We start from the raw sequence: 20,044 nt of genomic DNA, 5'->3' as shown, positions 1-20,044 counted from the left end.
AAAAGGAAATAGTATGAAGAGTAATTCAATATAGGCTATCTAGACAGAGGTGGGCAACAGCACCTTGCCCTCCTCCACCACCACTGTACCCAGAACCTTAGTCAGGACTGACTTCTCTTGGGGGTGGTATTGTGTTAGGTAAACCAAATAAGAAGTAATAGGACTAAAAATTGCCTGCTGTGAGAGAAGGCTCATATGCTCCTAAATCTTGCATGTCATTGGAAAATTCTCAAGAAAAAGGAAGGGGATAGGTTATGTTATAATGATTGGTCCATGAGTCTGATTTTAGTGATTTGTCTTCATTGTTTTCAAAACCAAATTTGTTTTTTATGCAATCACATTTAGTTTTTCTAGATAGTGACTTCCAAAACCTTTAACAAGCATTGCGGGTGCAACTGCTATAGAAAACACTATTGAGGTTCCTCAGAAAATTAAAAATAGAACTACCATATGACCCCAAAATTCCATATATCCATAAGAATTGAAAGCAGGGTCTTGAAGAGATATTTGCACACCCATGTTCATAGCAGCACAGTAGCCAGGAGGTGGGAAGCAAGCCAAATGTCCATCTACAGATGAATGGGCAAACAAAATGTGGGGGGGGGTGTGTGTGTAATATTATTCATTATCCTTATGATCATATCATTACCATTCCAAAGGAAGGAAATCCTATCATATGCTACAACGTGAATGAACCTTGAGTGCATCATGCTAAGTGAAATAAGCCAATCATAAACAGGCTGTTACTGTATGATTCTATTTCTATGAGATATTTAAAGTAGCCAAATTCATACAAACAAACAGAATGGCAATTGCCAGAGGCTGAGGGGAGAGGGGGAAAGGGGAGTTGTTTAATGGGCATAGAGTTTCAGATTTGCAAAATGAAAATTTCTAGAGATCTGTTTCACAACAATGTGAATATACTTAACATTACTGAACTGTACACTTAAAAATCAATAAGATGATAAATTTTATGTTATGTGTTTGTTTGTTTGTTTGTTTGTTTGGAGATGGAGTTTTGCTCTTGTTGCCCAGGCTGGGGTGCAATCTCAGCTTACTGCAACCTCCGCCTCCTGGGTTCAAGTGATTCTCCTGCCTCAGCCTCCCGAGTAGCTGGGATTACTACACCCGCCACCACACCCGGCTAATTTTTTGTATTTTTAGTAGAGACAGAGTTTCACCATGTTGGCCCGGCTGGTCTCGAACTCCTGACCTCAAGTGATCTGCCTGCCTCGGCCTCCCAAAGTGCTGGGATTACAGGCGTGAGCCACCACGCCCAGCCTGTTGTGTTTTTTACCACAATTTTTAAAAAATGAAGAGAAAAAAAGCATTGGGGACCCCAAAAATCAAACTGGATTGATACTTAGTCACTAGACACAACACCCTAAGTTCTGTTACTGCCGACTTTGGATTCCTGACCATGCAGGAATCTGTATTTAATAAATATACAATCTTGTTCTGTTTGCCTCTCCATAGGTGTTATCCACGTGACCAAGGAAGTGAAAGAAGTGGCAACGCTGTCCTGTGGTCACAATGTTTCTGTTGAAGAGCTGGCACAAACTCGCATCTACTGGCAAAAGGAGAAGAAAATGGTGCTGACTATGATGTCTGGGGACATGAATATATGGCCCGAGTACAAGAACCGGACCATCTTTGATATCACTAATAACCTCTCCATTGTGATCCTGGCTCTGCGCCCATCTGACGAGGGCACATACGAGTGTGTTGTTCTGAAGTATGAAAAAGACGCTTTCAAGCGGGAACACCTGGCTGAAGTGACGTTATCAGTCAAAGGTTGGTGGGATTTTCTGATTTTACTCTAGGCCGGCAGATTCTTAATGCCCTTAAAGACACATGGCTATTGATTTAGGTGAAAATTTTACCAAAGAGGGATGTATCTCACTTCATTTCTTGGAGTTAAGTCTCTAGTTGTACAATAAACTCTAACTGGTTTCTAAAGATGTCCTGGAAATATCTGTTAATGTGCATTTCTTGTTCTTTGACAATCCAAGTTCATGACAATCATCCTGGGGCACTATAATGACCTAAAGAGCCTCTCAATCACCAAGGGGCATCTTTGATTTGATGTAGCCTTGCTACTAACTGCACTTGACCCAGCAATATATGCCTGTGAAAGTATGCTGAAAAGGTAACGGGGCTGGGTATGGTGGCTTATGCCTGTAATCTCAGCACTTTGGGAGGCCAAGGCAGGCGGATCACTTGAGGTCATGAGTTCAAGACCAGCCTGGCCAACATAGCGAAACTCCGTCCCTACTAAAAATACAAAAACTAGCCAGATGTGGTGGCGCATTCCTGTAATCCCAGCTACTCTGGAGGCTGAGGCAGAGAATCGCTTGAACCTGGGAGGCGGAGGTTGCAATGAGCTGAGATTGCACCACTGCACTCCAGCCTGGGTGACATAGCAAGACTCCATCTCAAAAAAAAAAAAAAAAAAAGAACAATGGAGGCATAAATCTTTTTCAGGTAGTATGTGAACGTCTATTACTATGGCTATCTTACTATTATATTCTAATATTTTCAAAGTGATAATTTACTTATTGCATATTTGAAGCTCTAATCTAGCAGTCAGTCCTGAAAAATTAGATGTTAGAGAATTGGGCCAGGTGCGGTGGCTCAGCACTTTGGGAGGCCAAGGTGGGTGGATGGCTTGAGCTCAGGAGTTTGAGACCAGCCTGCCCAACATGGTGAAACCCCATCTCTACTAAAAATACAAAAATTAGCCAGGGACGTGTTGGCTACTCAGGAGGCTGAGGCAGGAGAATCACTTGAACCTGGGAGGCGGAGGTTGCAGTGAGCAGAGATGGTGCCACTGCACTCCAGCCTTGGTGACAGAGCAAAGACTGTTTCAAAAAAAAAAAAAGTAGACTACAGAGGAGGGTGAGCATTTCCCTACTGGTAGAGACTCTGTCTTAAAAAAAAAAAAAAGTTAGAGAATTGGATGCATAATTAATTCCTGCCACAAGGAAAAAAACTAATTTATGAATCAAAGCCCTGTTTATGTACCTACTGTGGAAGGCAAGCATTTCTGGTCTCGGAAAGAAAGGACCCTTGCTTTTGTAACCACCCAAGAGGTTTACCTCGCCTGCTGCGTAGATAGAGCCAATTCATCAAGACAGGGGAATTGCAATAGAGAGAGTAATTTACGCACAACTGGCTGTGCGGGAGACCGGAGTTTTATCATTACTCAAATCAGTCTCTCCAAGCATCTGGGGAGCAGAGTTTTTAAGGATAACTAGGTGGGTCGGGGGAAGCCAGTGAGCTGGGAGTGCTGATTGGTCAGGGATGATACCATAGGGAGTTGAAGCTGTCTTCTTGCACTGGGTTGGGGGGCCACAAGATCAGATGAGTCAGTTTATTGATCTGGGTGGTGCCAGCTGATCCATCAAGTGCAGGGGCTGCAAAATAGCTCAAGCACTGATCTTAGGAGCAGTTTAGGGAGGGTCAGAATCTCATAGCATCCAGCTTTATGACTCCTAAACCATAATTTCTAATCTTGTGGCTAATGTTAGTCCTACAAAGGCAATCTACTCCCCAGGCAAGAAGGAGGTCTGCTTTGGGAAAGGGCTGTTACCATCTTTGTTTAAACTATAAACTATAAACTAAGTTTCTACCAAAGTTAGTTCAGCCTACACCCAGGAGTGAACAAAGATAGCTTGGAGGTTAGAAGCAAGATGGAGTCAGTTAAGTTAGATCTCTTTCACTGTCTCAGTCATAATTTTGCAAAGGGGGTTTCACTTTAATTACAGTATAACAGAGGATACTGAAGGAGCCAGAGCCCTTTTTGAGAAATTATATCCCTGAGCCATTTTCTCACAGTTGAAATTTGAACATATTTCTTTTTCCCCTGGGACTTGAGCCTCTAGTGAAAACCAAACTTCTTACTTAATAAAACATAATGATTAACCTTGATAATAGATAACTTCAGCAGATCCGTAGTGAATTCCTTACTGTTCTTTGTTTTAATCATTAGCTATGAATCTTTACTTGTGACATCCAGATCACACCTAAAGTTGTGGGGAGTAAGCCAAAGTTACATGGAACTATCTTAAACTTCACTCAGTGTTTTCTCTGCTCTTGGATAGAATAAATTATTATATGGTGATGTGATTTGAGGGGTACTAAGAAGCCTACCTCTTCCACGATTTTCACCTGCATTGACTCCTGAAATTCTCATCATCATAGCCATTCCTGCTAGTTTCTCCATTTTCCTCCTAAAAGATCCCTGTTAAAATGAAAATGTGTTTCCTGGGGTGGGGGGTGGGGGGTGGCACCACAAATATATTAGCCTGTATTAGTTAATTACATTAGGTACGTAGTCCTCTAATGGACTACCGAGAGAGAAGTAGACTCAGGTCAGGTGAATTTGGATAGAAAGATAAAGAAGAAAATCCAAGAGTGAGAAAAGGAAACATTTCAAGGGGGGCAGGCCCTATTAGCAGATTACCGTAAGAGACCAAGGACAGCTAAGGGGACAATGTGAGATTTCTGGGGTACTCAGAACCGAGGGTGTGTGGGTGGACAAAATCCAGTAAAGGGAAGACAAAAAGGTCACTCGCTTAATTTTGCTGAGAAGCATTCTGAATTTTCCAATTGAGTCAAAGCAGTGTTTCTCAAATGCTTATAAGCCTATGAGTCATTTGAGGGTCTTGTTAAAAATGCAGATTTAAGTTCAGTAGGTCTGGGGTTTGGATCTGAGATTCTGCACCTCTAACAAGCTCTCAGGTGATGCCTGTGCTGCTGTGGAGGACCACAATTTGAGAAGCAAGGAATTAAGCTCTCATTTGGCTAGAGTGACCAGGTATCCTCTTTGCTCAGAACCAAAGGGTTTATTTGGGGCACAAGATTTTTGGTGCTAAAACTGGGAAAGTCTCAGGCAAATAGGACACGTTGGTTACCCTATATTTGTCTAAGATTGCAAAATGGTAATATAATATCAGCATAGCCATATGAAAACCTCCATTAACTGGCATGTTTGAGAACTAGCTACATTCGTTAACAGCTTAACTAGGTTAATGGATTTTTCCTCCTAAAACATGTGCACCTATTCCTTTCCTTGTAAGACATTCCTACCCTTTCCTATTAAGAGTGGTAAAAATTGGGTTAACTAATTAAAATGAGATACAAAGGTTACAGTCTTACAACGTCTTTGATTGTTCACAATCTCACAAGACCTCAGGAGTAGTTACCCTAAACAGATCACCTTAGAAAAAAGGTGGGAGATGGAGTTTAGGCTGTTCTAAGCCAAGAAAGATTTTGAAACTTTTTTTTTTTTTGAGATGGAGTCTCTTACTCTGTCACCCAGGCTAGAGTGCAGTGGCGTGATCTCGGGTCTCTGCAGCCTCTGCCTCCTGGGTTCAAGCGATTCTCCTGTCTCAGCCTCCAAACTAGCTGGGACTACAGGCATGTGCCATCATGCCTGGCTAATTTTTTATTTTTAGTAGAGACAAGGTTTCACTATGTTGTCCAGGGTGGTCTCAAACTCCTGACCTCAAGCGATCCTCCTGCCTTGACCTCCCAAAGTGCTAGGATTACAGGCATGAGCCAGCACACCTGGCCTTGAAAAGATTTTTAATACAGTTCCTGGTATGAGTGGCATTCCTGTAGTTTATTTCCCAGAAAAGCAGAGCACAGAAATGAACATGAATCATATTAATAATTTAGGATATGAGTTTTTGGATTTATTATTCCTAGTTATAACACAAAACATATTGATGTTATAAGAAACACAGAATATTCTAGATATCAGCTGCCTGTGTCATGAGTCGATCTTATAGGATAAATTAATAAGTGGGAAATAACAATGCCAACTAAAAGTGGCTCAGGAACATATCAAACTTCATTTAGGGACAGGGTTCATTGAAACAAACAAAAAAAAAAGGTAACTTCACCTCCAACCAAATCCAACTTTTCCTCTTTCCTGGCAATTATCATCATTTGTCATGGCTTCCCTTTATCCTCATTATTGTAGGTGCCACAAGGCATTCCTGGAAGTGTTTGCCTGGCAACCTGATTTAAATGAGGGGGCTTACCTAAGAGAGGATAAATTCAAGACCCACTTAAATATAGCTATCATTGGCTGGGTGTGGTGGCTCACGCCTGTAATCCCAGCACTTTGGGAGGCCGAGGCTGGTGGATCACGAGGTCAGGAGACTGAGACCATCCTGGCTAACACAGTGAAACCCCATCTCTATTAAAAATACAAGAAATTAGATGGTAGTGGTGGGCTCCTGTAGTCCCAGCTACTCTGGAGGCTGAGGCAGGAGAATCACTTGAACCCGGAGGTTGCAGTAAGCCAAGATGGTGCCACTGCACTCCAGCCTGGGCAACAGAGTGAGACTATTTAGTTTCCTGTGTGTCAGGCTCTGTGCTAAGTGATTTCTATGAACGATGTCATTTAATTCTTACAACCCTGGGTATTAGTGTCCCTATCTTATAGATGAGCAAACTAAGACTAAAGGTGGGTAAGTTATTGACCCAGGGTCACAAGGCAGAACTGGTTTTAAAACCTGCTTTTGATGACCATATGCTACATGACATCTCTGTGGGGCTCAGAATTCTGAAAAGAAAGCTAACTCTATGAGGAGATTGAATCCCTACATTCATGCTAAGAAGCTAATCTCTTTATGTGTAAGAATAAGTGACGAAGCCGCTAGGTATCTTTCTCCTATGTTCTCTGCATTTATTTTCCTGTACTTTGTACTTCAGAATCTTATGGGGATCAAATATATAAATGAAACAGTGCCTCAAGGGTCTTGGAGGAATGCTAGGAAGGCCTTCCTGTCCCTTTAAGGCATATCAAAATAGTAAGAAAAACAATAAAGTGTGGTGAATGAGGTTATAGGCTCAATGTTGTAGTTTGGATATAGGTTTTTCTGAGTAAAAGACTACTTTTTTTTTTTTTAATTTCAACCAGGTATTTAATTGGTCTGGCAACTGCACAATATACAAATTTCTGAAAGGCATCTCCTGTTTGAAAGCTAGCATAGCTTCATCCCAGTAATTAATTCGGACAAATATATAGAACACCAAGAAGTCATAAATTATGCATGGAAGACTCCCAAACCAATTAACAACTAAACTCAGTCTATACAGCTTTCTATTTTTCAGGCTTCCATATGCACATTAAATAAATAAACAGCATGTCTACTATCAAAATAATTAAAAAATTCAAATGAATTCAAATAAATTTATTCAAATACATTTCAATGATATTTTCAAATGAAAACATTACTGATGTGGTTCAGAGTTTTTCTTCTCACCTAAAATAAAGAGCTTTGCCCATGGTCTCATGAGGACAGAATAAAGAGGGGAAAACCCATCCAGAAATAAATATGCAAATTAAAAAATACTGGTCATGGGTGTTTTTTTGGGGTATGGGGTGTTGGTGAGACTCAGTAGAAGCAAAAGCTCATGACTATAGTTCAATGCCTGCCCCCCACTCACACGCACACAATGCCCCCTCAAAAGGCAGGTCACAGGTTTGTAAATTAGGCAGCATTTTCCTTTCTCCAAGATCTCCTCTCCTTGACCAGATTTATGTTTTCTCTCTCCCCATCTAGACCCTTTCCAACGAAAGTTCTATGTTAGGCAAAGCCTTCTCTATTTATGTATTGAGTTTAGGTAGCCAGAAAGAAAAGGGAAACACAACTTCATGGAGCCCTTACCTGTAACAGACTTAAGAGTCAATGTTCAAAGGATAAGGCCAGAAAGGAGGACATGAGAAACCATTCTCAAGAGCAAAGGGGTAGGCCCCTCATGTAAAAGACGACCTTTTAAAAAGCAAGGAAATGCTAACCACAAATTTAGGATAGTGATAGTGATTACCTTAGGTAAGGGAAAGAGAGGGACAGGATAGGTGACATCATACCAGCAGATTTACCTAAGTTACTGTCAGTGTTTTTGGTCTCAAGTTGGATGGTGGGTTTTCAGGCGTTCGCTATAGTTTAGTAAATAAATAGATAACATAGAAGAAAGCCACTTGCGTACTTCAAGCATCAGGAAGAAAAGAAGAGAAGAGAAGAAAGGGAAAGGAAAGAAAGAAAGGCAAGGTCAAGAAAAGATAGGCTCTGGTGTCAGACAGATTTGAATTCTGCCATTACTGGTTAGTTATAATTTCTCTAAACCTCAGTTTGATTACTTATAAAATGGAAATTATATTAGGTTAAATCATATGAAATTACTGATCTTTGACCTTTTTAGATCTACAACCTACCTCTCTAGGGTTTCTGTGAGGACAAAATGAGGTAAGGTCCAGACCTAACAAACAAGAGTTCAGTAAACGTTGTCTATTATTCTTCTCTTCATCTCTTACAATTGCAAGTACTCTGGCAACATTTATTCACACGAACCTACTTCTCCTTTCTGTAATAAGTGCCCTCCTATCTCCATCAAAAGTGGCAAAGAATTGATATAACCAATTCAAATCAAAGTTAGTCTTTGGATTATACATAACTATTAATGAGTAATGGGAAGTTGCAAATTATATCTCATTTTATCATTCTTGTTTTGTTTTGTTGTTTTTGAGATGAAGCCTTGCTCTTTTGCCCAGGCTGGAGTGAAGTCGTACGATCTCGGCTAACTGCAATCTCCACCCTCTGGGTTCAAGCCATTCTCTTGCCTTAGCCTCCCGAGTAGCTGGGATTATAGGCGCCTGCCACCACGCCTGGTTAATTTATGTATTTTTGGTAGAGATGGGGTTTTGCCATGTTAGCCAGGCTGGTCTCAAACTCCTGACCTCAGGTGTTCCACCTGCCTCGGCCTCCCAAAGTGCTGGGATTACAGGAGTGAGCCACTGCACCTGGCCTTTATCAATTCTTATTAAAGCTAGAAAATTATTTAAAAATAAACCTCTACACACATAGGTTTGTAACTATACGTAATTATATATTCTTGTTCTTTCTTTAGCTGACTTCCCTACACCTAGTATATCTGACTTTGAAATTCCAACTTCTAATATTAGAAGGATAATTTGCTCAACCTCTGGAGGTTTTCCAGAGCCTCACCTCTCCTGGTTGGAAAATGGAGAAGAATTAAATGCCATCAACACAACAGTTTCCCAAGATCCTGAAACTGAGCTCTATGCTGTTAGCAGCAAACTGGATTTCAATATGACAACCAACCACAGCTTCATGTGTCTCATCAAGTATGGACATTTAAGAGTGAATCAGACCTTCAACTGGAATACAAGTAAGTGACATTGTTCTGGGGAGTTTCTACTATATCGAATCTAAAAAGACAATATAGTCGTGTCATTTAATGATGTGGATACATTTTGAGAAATGCATCATTAGGCAATTCTGTCATTGTCTGAACATCAGAGTGTATTTACATAAACCTAGATGGTACAGCCTACTGCACACCTAGGCTACATGGTACAGCCCAGTGCTCTGAGGCTACACACCTGTACAGCATGTTACCATACTGAACACATAGGCAGTTGTAACACAATAAGTATTTGTGTATCTAAGCGTATGTAAACATAGGAAAGGTACAGTAAAAATACGGTATTATAATTTTATGGGACTACCATCATATATGCAGAATGCCATTGAAAATGTTACATGGCACATTACTGTAACTCAGCCAGATACATTTTAGAATTGTCGTATTTATTTTGATAGTGTTTTATAGTGTTTTTAGATATACAAATGACATGTGCTATTATGACTTATTAAAGTCACTGTGAGACTGGGCACAGTGGCTCATGCCTGTAATCCCAGCACTTTGGGAGGCTGAAGTGGGAGGATCACTTGAGCCCAGGAGTTCAAGACCAGCTGGGAAGCATGAGACTCTGACTCTACAGAACATTTAAAAAATTAGCCAGGCTTGGTGACACACATGTGTAGTCCTAGGTACTTGGGAGGGTAAGGTGGGTGGCTTACTTGAGCCCAGGTGTTCAAAGTTGCAGTGAGCTATGATCATGCCACTAGACTCCAGCCTGGGCAACAGAGTGAGACCCTGTCTCTAAAAGAAATAAATAAAATAATTTAAAAAATAAATTTAAAAAATAAAGTCACTGTGCAAGGTGTGATAATGTTACTAATTTTCTTTTTATTTATTTATTTATTTTTTTGAGACAGTGTCTCGCCCTGTTGCCCAGGCTGGAGTGCAGTGGCACAATCTCAGCTCACTGCAACCTCCACCTTCCAGGTTCAAGCAATTCTTCTGCCTCAGCCTCCCGAATAGCTGGGATTACAGGCGCCAGCCACCACCCTCGGCTAATTTTTTCTATCTTTAGTGGAGATGGGGTTTCACCATGTTGGTCAGGCTGGTCTCGAACTCCTGACCTCGTGATCCGCCCGCCTCAGCCTCCCAAAGTGCTGGGATTACAGGTGTGAGCCACTGCACCCGGCCTTATTTTCTTGTAATAAATATTCTAAAATTTATATATACTAAAAACCATTATCCATCAAGCATTCATCTTAAAAAGTTTTTGTAACAATAGTATTATTGAAAGCATTAAAATTTGCCCTTTGGAACTGCCCTTAGGGATTTGGTGCTTTCTTTTAGGGCATGCCACCCACACGGTTCCATGGTGCCAAACAATTTTTTTTTGTGGGCGAATGTGCTTTTTAAGAACTACTGGTTCATTCTGAACCAAGTCTGGGAAAGGTGAGTGACAAACTCCTTGAAGACAACGCCTGAAAAGAGGTCATTTTGGAGCAAATATTTTACCCTACTGGTAGTAAACTCAGAGAATTCTCTTTCCCCAAGAGGTGAAATCATTTGAAAATATACAATGAAAACGATGGGTTTATATGAATATATACATCTTAGGCCTATAATGGCTTAAGATGGCTTACAAGGTGAACTGAGATGCTCAAAATATTAATACTTGTTTAAATTGTACGGCTGATCATACAGAGGACCACAGGTCTCTCTCCCTACCCCTAGCCCCACTCCCAAGGATAGGTTTTGTGACTGTATAGTAAGAAACAAAACACTGAGTTTGATAATACAGTTGCACATAAGTATATAGCACAATATATACTATATGGCATGTCTTAATTCTTCATGTCTTTACTTGTAGTTGCGAAGTGGATAATTTATTTTAGATGGTCTAGTAATTCATGCTAGTGTATGATTTACTCTAGATCTTTCAGTGTTACAGCAGATTTTTTTTTTTTTTTTTGAGACGGAGTCTCGCTCTGTCACCCAGGCTGGAGTGCAGTGGCGTGATCTTGGCTCACTGTAACCTCCGCCTCCCAGGTTGAAGCAATTCTCCTGTCTCAGCCTCCTGTGTAGCTGGGACTACAGGTGCCAGCCACCACACACAGATAATTTTTGTATTTTTAGTAGAGATGGAGTTTCACCACGTTGGTCAGGCTGGTCTTGAACTCTCGACCTTAGGTGATCTGCCCGCCTCAGCCTCCCAAAGTGTGGAGATTACAGGCATGAGCCACCATGCCCGGCTACAGCAGATTCTTTATTTTCCTCAATGAGACAAAATTTCCTGGGAAAATTAGTTCAAATATAAACCAAACTTTGACATGACTATTGATACTCCAAACTTACCAGTCTCAGTCATCTTTTATGTGTTGTAAAAATTTTATTAAAATGAGGCTTCAATCATATAGTTTATTAAGTCTCTATTTTTACTTTCTTGTTATAGCATTATTTAACCAATTTTACATTATTCTGATTGAAGGCAGAAAACAGTAGAGTACTGATTATTAAATCAGTAATACTAGCTTGGATTGCATTTTGATTTGGACATTATTTATATTGGAATATGGATATATGTGACATTCTAAGACAGGGGTTGGCAAATTTTTTTCTGAATAGAGCCAGATAGTAAATATTTTAAGCTTTGCAGTCACAGTCTCTGTTGCAACAACTCAATTCTGCTGGTTGTAGCACAAAAGCAGCCACAGACAAGACATAAATGAATGACATGGCTATGTTCCAACAAAATTTTTCTTTTTTTTTTCTTTTTCTTTTTTTTTTTTTTGAGACAGAGTTTCACTCTTGTTGCCCAGGCTGGAGTGCAATGGTGTGGTCTCGGCTCACTGCAACCTCTGCCTCCCAGGTTCAAACGATTCTCCTGCCTCAGCCTCCCAAGTAGCTGGGATTACAGGTGCCTGCCTCCACAACTGGCTAATTTATGTATTTTCTTAGTGGAGATGGGGTTTCACCATGTTGGTCAGGCTGGTCTCGAACTCCTGATCTCAGGTGATCCATCTGCCTCAGCCTCTCAAAGCGCTGTGATTACAGGTGTGAGCCACTACACCCAGCCACAAAATTTCATTTTTAAAAACAGGTGCAGGACAGGTTTGGCCCATGTGCTATAGTTTGCTAACTTAAGGTTTTTGTCTTTGTGGCTGGAGAGCTTTAGGGTATAAATGTCTCAAATCTCATTAATTGGACTGTGTGGGGATTCTTTAGAATAAGATTCAAAAGCAAATAATGCATTTATAGGAGGTCAAGGGCTGACTGCACTAACAAATATACATTAAGTGTATAGTACATAGAAATGTTACAGGTCAGGGTGAGTAAAGCTTTGAGGTGAAAATGTATTAGTCCCTTTTCATGCTGCTGATAAAGACATACCCGAGACTGGGCAACTTACAAAATAAAGAGGTTTAATTAGACTCACAGTTCCACGTGGCTGGGGAGGCCTCACAAATCATGGCAGAAGGCAAGGAGGAGCAAGTCATGTCTTATGTGGATGGCAGCAGCCAAAAAGAGAGCTTGTTATAAGGAAACTCCTGTTTTTAAACTATCAGATCTCGTGAGACTCATTAACTATCACAAGGACAGTGCAGGAAAGACTCGCCCCCATAATTCAGTCACCTCCCACTGGGTTCCTCCCATGACATGTGGCAACTGTGGGAGTTATAATTCAAGATGAGATTTGGGTGGGGACACAGCCAAACCATATCAGTAAATAACTGATTTGGAAAAAAAAAAAAAGCCCAAATGTATTAATTAAGCGGATTGCGCATATGATTCTTTTTAGTGTAGTCTCACCAAATTTGTTTTCCCTTGATAAACTGGAAGGAGATACATCTGAGAGAGTCATACTCATGGTATCTAATAAGCTACATGTGCAGATGCCCTCACACCGCTCTGTACCTTGGATTCTGGGTCTGCCCCTGTGGGATGTTACCAGGTTTCTAACAGGTGTCACAATAGACCTGGCTTGCTGCTACTGAGGCCTCCCTCTTTCCCTCACACACATACTCTCTCTAGGTTGAATGAGGCTTGTGGATGGGTGTGGAGTGGAAGCCAGGAATGAGCTGAAGCCTGTGAAACTTCTAGACTCCCAGGATAACAGCAATGGCTTGTTATTTTTTGTGTCATTCTAATCTGTAGAGGTCAACTCTGGTAATCACTTGATGTCTCCATTCAATCTGGTGTTTTAGAGAAAAAAGAAAAACCAACTATCCTGTCTTTAAGTGGTAGGTACACTATGATTAAATAGGTGTTTCAGAATGATTACTGTGACAGCAATGTGCAGGAGTTATTAGAGCCTAGGAAACCTGAGGCAAAGAGACCGGTTTGCAGGCTACTAGGTGGGAGATGAGAAAAATCTCAGCTAAGGCAGTTGCTGCAAGAGATTTGGGAAAAAGCAGTAAGTTCCAGAGATATTCTGAATATAGAACAGAAAATACATGGGAGCCTACTGGGAAGTGAGCACAAAGAAAATACCACACTCTTATTTGGGTAACTAAATGGTATTGTTATTCACTGAAATGGGAGAATACAGCTGGTAGATATGATTTGGAAAGCAGGTAGTAAATTCAGTTTTAATCAGGTGGAGATGCTGGCATCCATCCAATATACAAATTTAGAAATCAGATGGCACTTCTTTTTTTTTTTTTTCTTTGTCTTTTTCTGAGATAGATTCTCACTCTGTCACCCAGGCTGGAGTGCAATCTTGGCTCATTGCAACCTCTGTCTCCCTGGTTCAAGCAATTCTCTTGCTTCAGCCTCCTGAGTACCTGGGATTGGTACTCGCCACCGATAATTTTTTGTACTTTTAGTAGAGACAGGGTTTCACTATGTTGGCCAGGCTGGTCTCGAACTCCTGACCTCAGGTGATCTGCCCACCTTGGCCTCCCAAAGTGCCAGAATTACAGGTGTGAGCCACTGTGCCCAGCCTCAGATGGCATTTCAAATCTCAGGTGTGGAGGATATTACCCAGGAAGACTGGGGCCAGTAAGGGCAAAATGGGACCACAAACAGAACCATGGGAACAACAATAATTAGAGGACAAGAAGAGGAAGAAAAGCCTTCAGAGAAAACGGAGTGCAACAAACAGAAACAGAAGGATGTGGTGTCACAGAAGTCCAAGAAGGAGAAGATTCCAACTGGCTAAATGCTGATGAGAAGTCCAATAAGCAAAAGAATAAAACTAGGCCAGGCGCAGTGGCTCATGCCTGTAATCCCAGCACTGTGGGAGGCCAAGACAGGAGAATCACCTGAGGTCAGGAGTTCGAGACCAGTCTGGCCAACATGGGGAAACCCCATCTCTACTGAAAATACAAAAATTAGCTGGGTGTGGTGGCACGCCCCTGTAATCCCAGCTACTCGGGAGGCTGAGGCAGGAGAATTCCTTGAACTCGGGAGGCAGAGATTGCAGTGAGCTGAGATCACATCACTGCACTCCAGCCTGGCCTGGGAAACACAGTGAAAGTCCGTCTTAAATAAATAAATAAATAAATAAATAAAACTTACCACTGGGTTTGGTAATCAGAAAAGTAAAAACAGGGATCTTGGACTCCCTGGACCCTCTCTCCAGCCCAGCCTTGCTAGCTCCGCCTGTGGTGCATGCTCCTGCCTCCGACTCAATGGTTTGCAGGAAAAATTTAGATAGCACAACAGTGGCAATTCACAATGAAGAGATCTACTGCAAATCCTACTATGGAAAGAAATATGGGACAAAAGGCTATGGTTATGGCCAGGGTGCTGGCACGCTTAACATGGCGAGAGGCTGGGCATCAAGCCAGAGAGTGTTCAGCCTCACAGGCCTACAAGAAATCCAAATGCTTCTAAATTTGCTCAGAAATATGGAGGTGCTGAGAAATGTTCCAGATGTGGGGATTCTGTATATGCTGCCGAGAAGATAATTGGAGCTGGAAAGCCCTGGCACAAAAACTGTTTCTGATGTGCAAAGTGTGGGAAGAGTCTTGAATCAACAACTCTGACTGAAAAAGAAGGTGAAATCTATTGTAATGGTGCTATGCAAAGAACTTTGGGCCCAAGGGATTTGGCTATGGCCAAGGAGCAGGGGCTCTTGTTCATGCCCAGTAAGGTGTAAACCCAGAACTAAGCATCACACATTGAGAATCTCTTCATAATCTAGGCACAGATAATCTTTAACACTAAACTACTGTGAAATTCTACCAGCATTGAGTACTGTATATTACCCTGTACTTGGATAGGCTGGCTAACTCATAGTGAGAGAGCACTGTGTCGTATCCTTTTGCTTTATTCACTAGCATTTTGGGGGAACATTTCTTTTATGTTTTAAATAAAACTTCAGCATGAAGAAAAAAAGTAAAAACAATAAGTTAGTAAATATTCATTTATTTGTAAGCCATTTCAGAGAAACCAGAAAATGAGCTGCTATAATTTGTGTCCCTGCCGTTTTTCCAGATGTTGCTAATGATTCCTCAAAGCAGCTGAAGAATAAATACTGCAGCTGCTGCTCCTGATCTGGAGGGATGGACCCGCAGCACCATATCCACCAACACCTTTCTCCTCCCCACCCTCATTTCCTTGTGTACTTCTTGTGCTCTCTGTGGGACTGAAACTACAGCTGATAACCTTCAGTGCTCTCTTCTAGGATGGTCCCACCTAATACCAAGCCATATCCACACTTAGTTCTTTGCCAGACTTGTTCTGTGTTTCCAGTAGCTAGAGGGTGAAAAACCTGTATCCGAAAGTGAATGCAAAGTGGCTCCTGTAGCTTTAGGGCAGCTACTGTGAGGTAAGGGTGTGTGTGATGTGTATGTGTTGAGAGAGAATATGGTAGGAGAAAGGGAGAAGGCACGACAGAGCTAGAGAAGGAAAAATAAAGTATACCTAGAACACAACATCAACCAGTTAGTAGTAACACATAGTTATAATCAGCTATAAAAGTGAGATACTGCAAGATGGCTTGTAAAAGATTTCCTTAGAATCTTCCTTATGTCAACTTAACTCAGTAAATGCAGACATTCAAAGTATCTTTTTCACTTTTAATATGTGACATCTGACTATTAGTTGCCCACAAGTATGTGCCTGATTGAAGAATTATGCAAGAAAAATGCTAGCAGCTGCATACTGGAGAGCTGACCAGGCAAAGAATACTCCACAGTTGCATCAATAGAAAAGGCACAGAATGAGTATCAGGCAGTAGGAAATACATTACAGCTGACATTATTCTTTTCCCTCCATAGCCAAGCAAGAGCATTTTCCTGATAACCTGCTCCCATCCTGGGCCATTACCTTAATCTCAGTAAATGGAATTTTTGTGATATGCTGCCTGACCTACTGTAAGTACTATCATACCATCATCCTGATCTCAATTCTGGAAGATCAAACTTTATTACCATGGTTCGGCATCTCTCTGAGGTTTTAGCCTATTCGCTTCTCATGTTTACAGCAAGCCTATGGAAACATGAGCATCTCCTTTACTTGTCTCAACAAGTTCTGTTCATTCACTGGACATTTTCCGGACACCTCCTACGTGTGTGGCACTCTACTAGGCACTGGAATTACAATGACAAGAAGTCACTGCCCTCAAGACACATTCTAGTTTAGTCTGTTTATTTTTTCCCTGACTTTATATATTTTTGGAGACTGGGGTTTGCTAACTAATTTGAAAACGTTTCTGATGCTAAATGATATTCTAATTTTTTTTTAAGGGCTAGTCGATTTGGCAGGTGAGTTGTTACACACTCCTTAGTGAATTCCAACTTCCATGGCCACCATCCTGCTGATATTCTAATTTTGATTTGGAGTTAGAGAAAAGGCAAATTGACAAATTTTGGTGCCAAGAATCATTTTCTTGGAGGAGGGCAAGATGCACTAATACAGTTGAGAAACTACATGGCTACAGGTGATCTCACCAATTCTCAGTTCTTGGGCTGGGTGGGGTGGCTCATGCCTGTAATCCCAGCACTTTGGGAGGCCAAGGCAGGTGGATCACTTAAGGTCAGGAGTTCGAGACCGGCCTGGCCAACATGGTGAAACTCTGTCTCTACTAAAAATACAAAAATTAGCCAGGCATGGTGGCGTGCACCTGTAGTCCTAGCTACTCAGGAGGCTGAAGCAGGAGAATTGCTTGAACCCAGGAACCCAGGAGGCGGAGACTGCAGTGAGCCAAGATCATGCCATTGCACTCCAGCCTGGGTGACAGAGTGAGACTCCATCTCAAAACACAAACCAATTCTTAGTTCTTTTTTTTTTTTGAGATGGAGTCTCACTCTGCCACCCAGGCTGGAGTGTATGCCCCGATCTCAGCTCACTGCACCTCCGCCTCCCAGGTTCAAGCAATTATCCGGCCTCAGCCTCCTGAGTAGCTGGGACTACAGGTGCGTGCTGCCACGCCTGACTAATTTTTTTTTGTATTTTTAGTAGAGACGGGGTTTCACCATGTTGGCCAGGATGGTCTTGATCTCCTGACCTCGTGATCCGCCTGCCTTGGCTTCCCAAAGTGCTGGGACTTCTTGTCTTTGGAATTCCAGTGCCTAGTAGAGTGCCACACACATAGGTGTCTGGAAAATGTCCATTTTCTCAGTTCTTTAGAATACATTTTTGGATGAAAGATCAGGAGTGGCTGATGAAAGAAGAGATTTCTAAGATATTTTACCCTATGAATTTACACTTTGGGTGTTAGACATATGCTGCCCTCAATCTCTATGATTAAATGAAGAGGAACTGCTAGTTCTATGGTCCGAAATAAGGCCATAATCACTATGAAGGGGTACCAACCCTTCTTTGAGTAGAAATCATGTACACTGATCAAATAAAATCGGAAGATCAACATCTGCTGATTTTCCCAGGCTTTAGCACCAAAAAAACCCAAAGCTCAGTGAATTCTTTAGAGAGTATGTGCTGTTAACAACTTATCCCAAGGGTAGGATAAAGAGGTCTGGTGGGCTCAAGGATGTTTCTAATACCAACTATCCAGTGTTACCCCTTTAATTCAGGGGCTCTCATCCTCAACATTATTGGCATTTTGGGCAAGATAATTCTTTGTTTTGGAGTGCTGTTCTGTGCACTGTAGGATGTTTAGCAGCTTCCTTAGCCTCTACTCACTACATGCCAGTAGCACCCCTTGCCCGTTGCGACAATCAAAAATATCCCCAAGCATTGCCAAATGTCCCCTTGGCAAAGAGGTAAAGAGGGAGCATTGTAAATCACCCCTGGTATAAGAACAACTGCTCCAGTTCTAAGCCAGTCTGAAGCCTTGCTAAAGTAAATATTAACATATGGGCACAATTCAAGGGAAACTTACTTATCATTTTTATTGTTTGTTCTTGTCTCCAAGGCTTTGCCCCAAGATGCAGAGAGAGAAGGAGGAATGAGAGATTGAGAAGGGAAAGTGTACGCCCTGTATAACAGTGTCCGCAGAAGCAAGGGGCTGAAAAGATCTGAAGGTAGCCTCCGTCATCTCTTCTGGGATACATGGATCGTGGGGATCATGAGGCATTCTTCCCTTAACAAATTTAAGCTGTTTTACCCACTACCTCACCTTCTTAAAAACCTCTTTCAGATTAAGCTGAACAGTTACAAGATGGCTGGCATCCCTCTCCTTTCTCCCCATATGCAATTTGCTTAATGTAACCTCTTCTTTTGCCATGTTTCCATTCTGCCATCTTGAATTGTCTTGTCAGCCAATTCATTATCTATTAAACACTAATTTGAGTTCATCTTGAATATTCCTGTGGTAACTTCTTATTCTGATCATTCATTTTTCCCTCTATCTCTCAGTATTGATGGACATGGGTTGGGGTCACTTTGTATTAACACGGTAACATTTTCATTGGTTTCTCTGCCTCTTACTAACAGACTCATCCTACTGACGAATCATGGAGCCAAATTTCACAAAGAATTACTCTGTCATGTCATTTTCCCACTCAAAAACTCAGAAGAGACCCCACTGCCTACAGAAAAAGCTTCAAAGCTTTTTAACTTTCCACATTCCAGCTGATCTCTTCAGTCTAAATACCCTTGAGTTCTGTCAATTGTTCCTCACATGGCATGGTTTCCAGTGCCTCACATGAATGGGGTAAACGGAACCCAAGACTTTAGATTTGGTCTTAATGACTCTACATACAATGAGATAATTATTATCTGGGGTCTGGAATGTCCATCCTGTTAAGAGAGCCTAACACAGCACTAGCTTTAGTGAGTCACAAATCCCCAGGTATTTTCATGCAAGAGAAACTTACATGGGACATTAGAATCCAAGAGACTGATATCAGGTCCCAGGTAGTTATAAGCCTCCCTAAACAGTTCAGCTTTGACTTGTGAAGGTTAGAGTAACACCAGTATAGGAATTAGTCTACAAAATTATCTTTAAAAATAAAGGAAAGCAAGAATTGTCCTGGGCAGGAGGGGGAAATATAAAGAAAAATGAAAAATAATACCTGACGCTTATACAACAGGTTGTTTTGCAAAAACACTATTTCATCTTAGTCTTATAAAAATCTCTATGAGCAAGATCTATTTCCATGTTATGGGAGAGAAACCAGAGGCTCCCAGAGGTTAAGAGATTTGCTTGAGGTACGGTCATACAGATGAAGAATAAAACCAAGATTCAAACTGGACATCAAGTTCAGGCTCCTTTCCCTACAACCTGGCAGCCTACACATATTTTCCCCCAAGGCAGTGTCTCAACTTCCTATCCTGTTTTTTCATTTCCACTGAATGCTTGCTCACTCCTCAGAATGTCTTTTCCAGGATGTTGCTCTGGCTCAGTTCTGTCATTATCTACAATTTTCTTGACTTTCTATCTAAAAAGTCTTCTGCTCAGTCTGCTGATACTTCAAAATGAAGCCGTGTACCCAATCTTCTACACAAGGCCTTC

General features: G+C 41.4%; 1 protein-coding gene and 1 pseudogene across 1 annotated transcript in view; both read left to right on the top strand.

The window, feature by feature from the left end:
* The window catches only part of CD80 (CD80 molecule), a 35,322-nt gene that overhangs the window by 13,271 nt on the left and 2,007 nt on the right, over positions 1–20,044 (top strand). The window contains exons 3-6 of the mRNA NM_005191.4: positions 1,477–1,794; positions 8,926–9,207; positions 16,407–16,502; positions 18,503–18,611. Coding sequence (NP_005182.1) covers positions 1,477–1,794; positions 8,926–9,207; positions 16,407–16,502; positions 18,503–18,573 — 767 coding nt within the window. The 3' untranslated portion in view covers positions 18,574–18,611. The remainder of the gene's footprint in view (positions 1–1,476; positions 1,795–8,925; positions 9,208–16,406; positions 16,503–18,502; positions 18,612–20,044) is intronic.
* CSRP2P1 (CSRP2 pseudogene 1) lies at positions 14,733–15,513 on the top strand (annotated as a pseudogene).

This window comes from Homo sapiens, chromosome 3, assembly GCF_000001405.40.
Source record: "Homo sapiens chromosome 3, GRCh38.p14 Primary Assembly".
NCBI lineage: Eukaryota > Metazoa > Chordata > Mammalia > Primates > Hominidae > Homo > Homo sapiens.
Note: the sequence above shows the minus strand (reverse complement) of the source record. Positions and strands in the feature narration are given on the sequence as shown.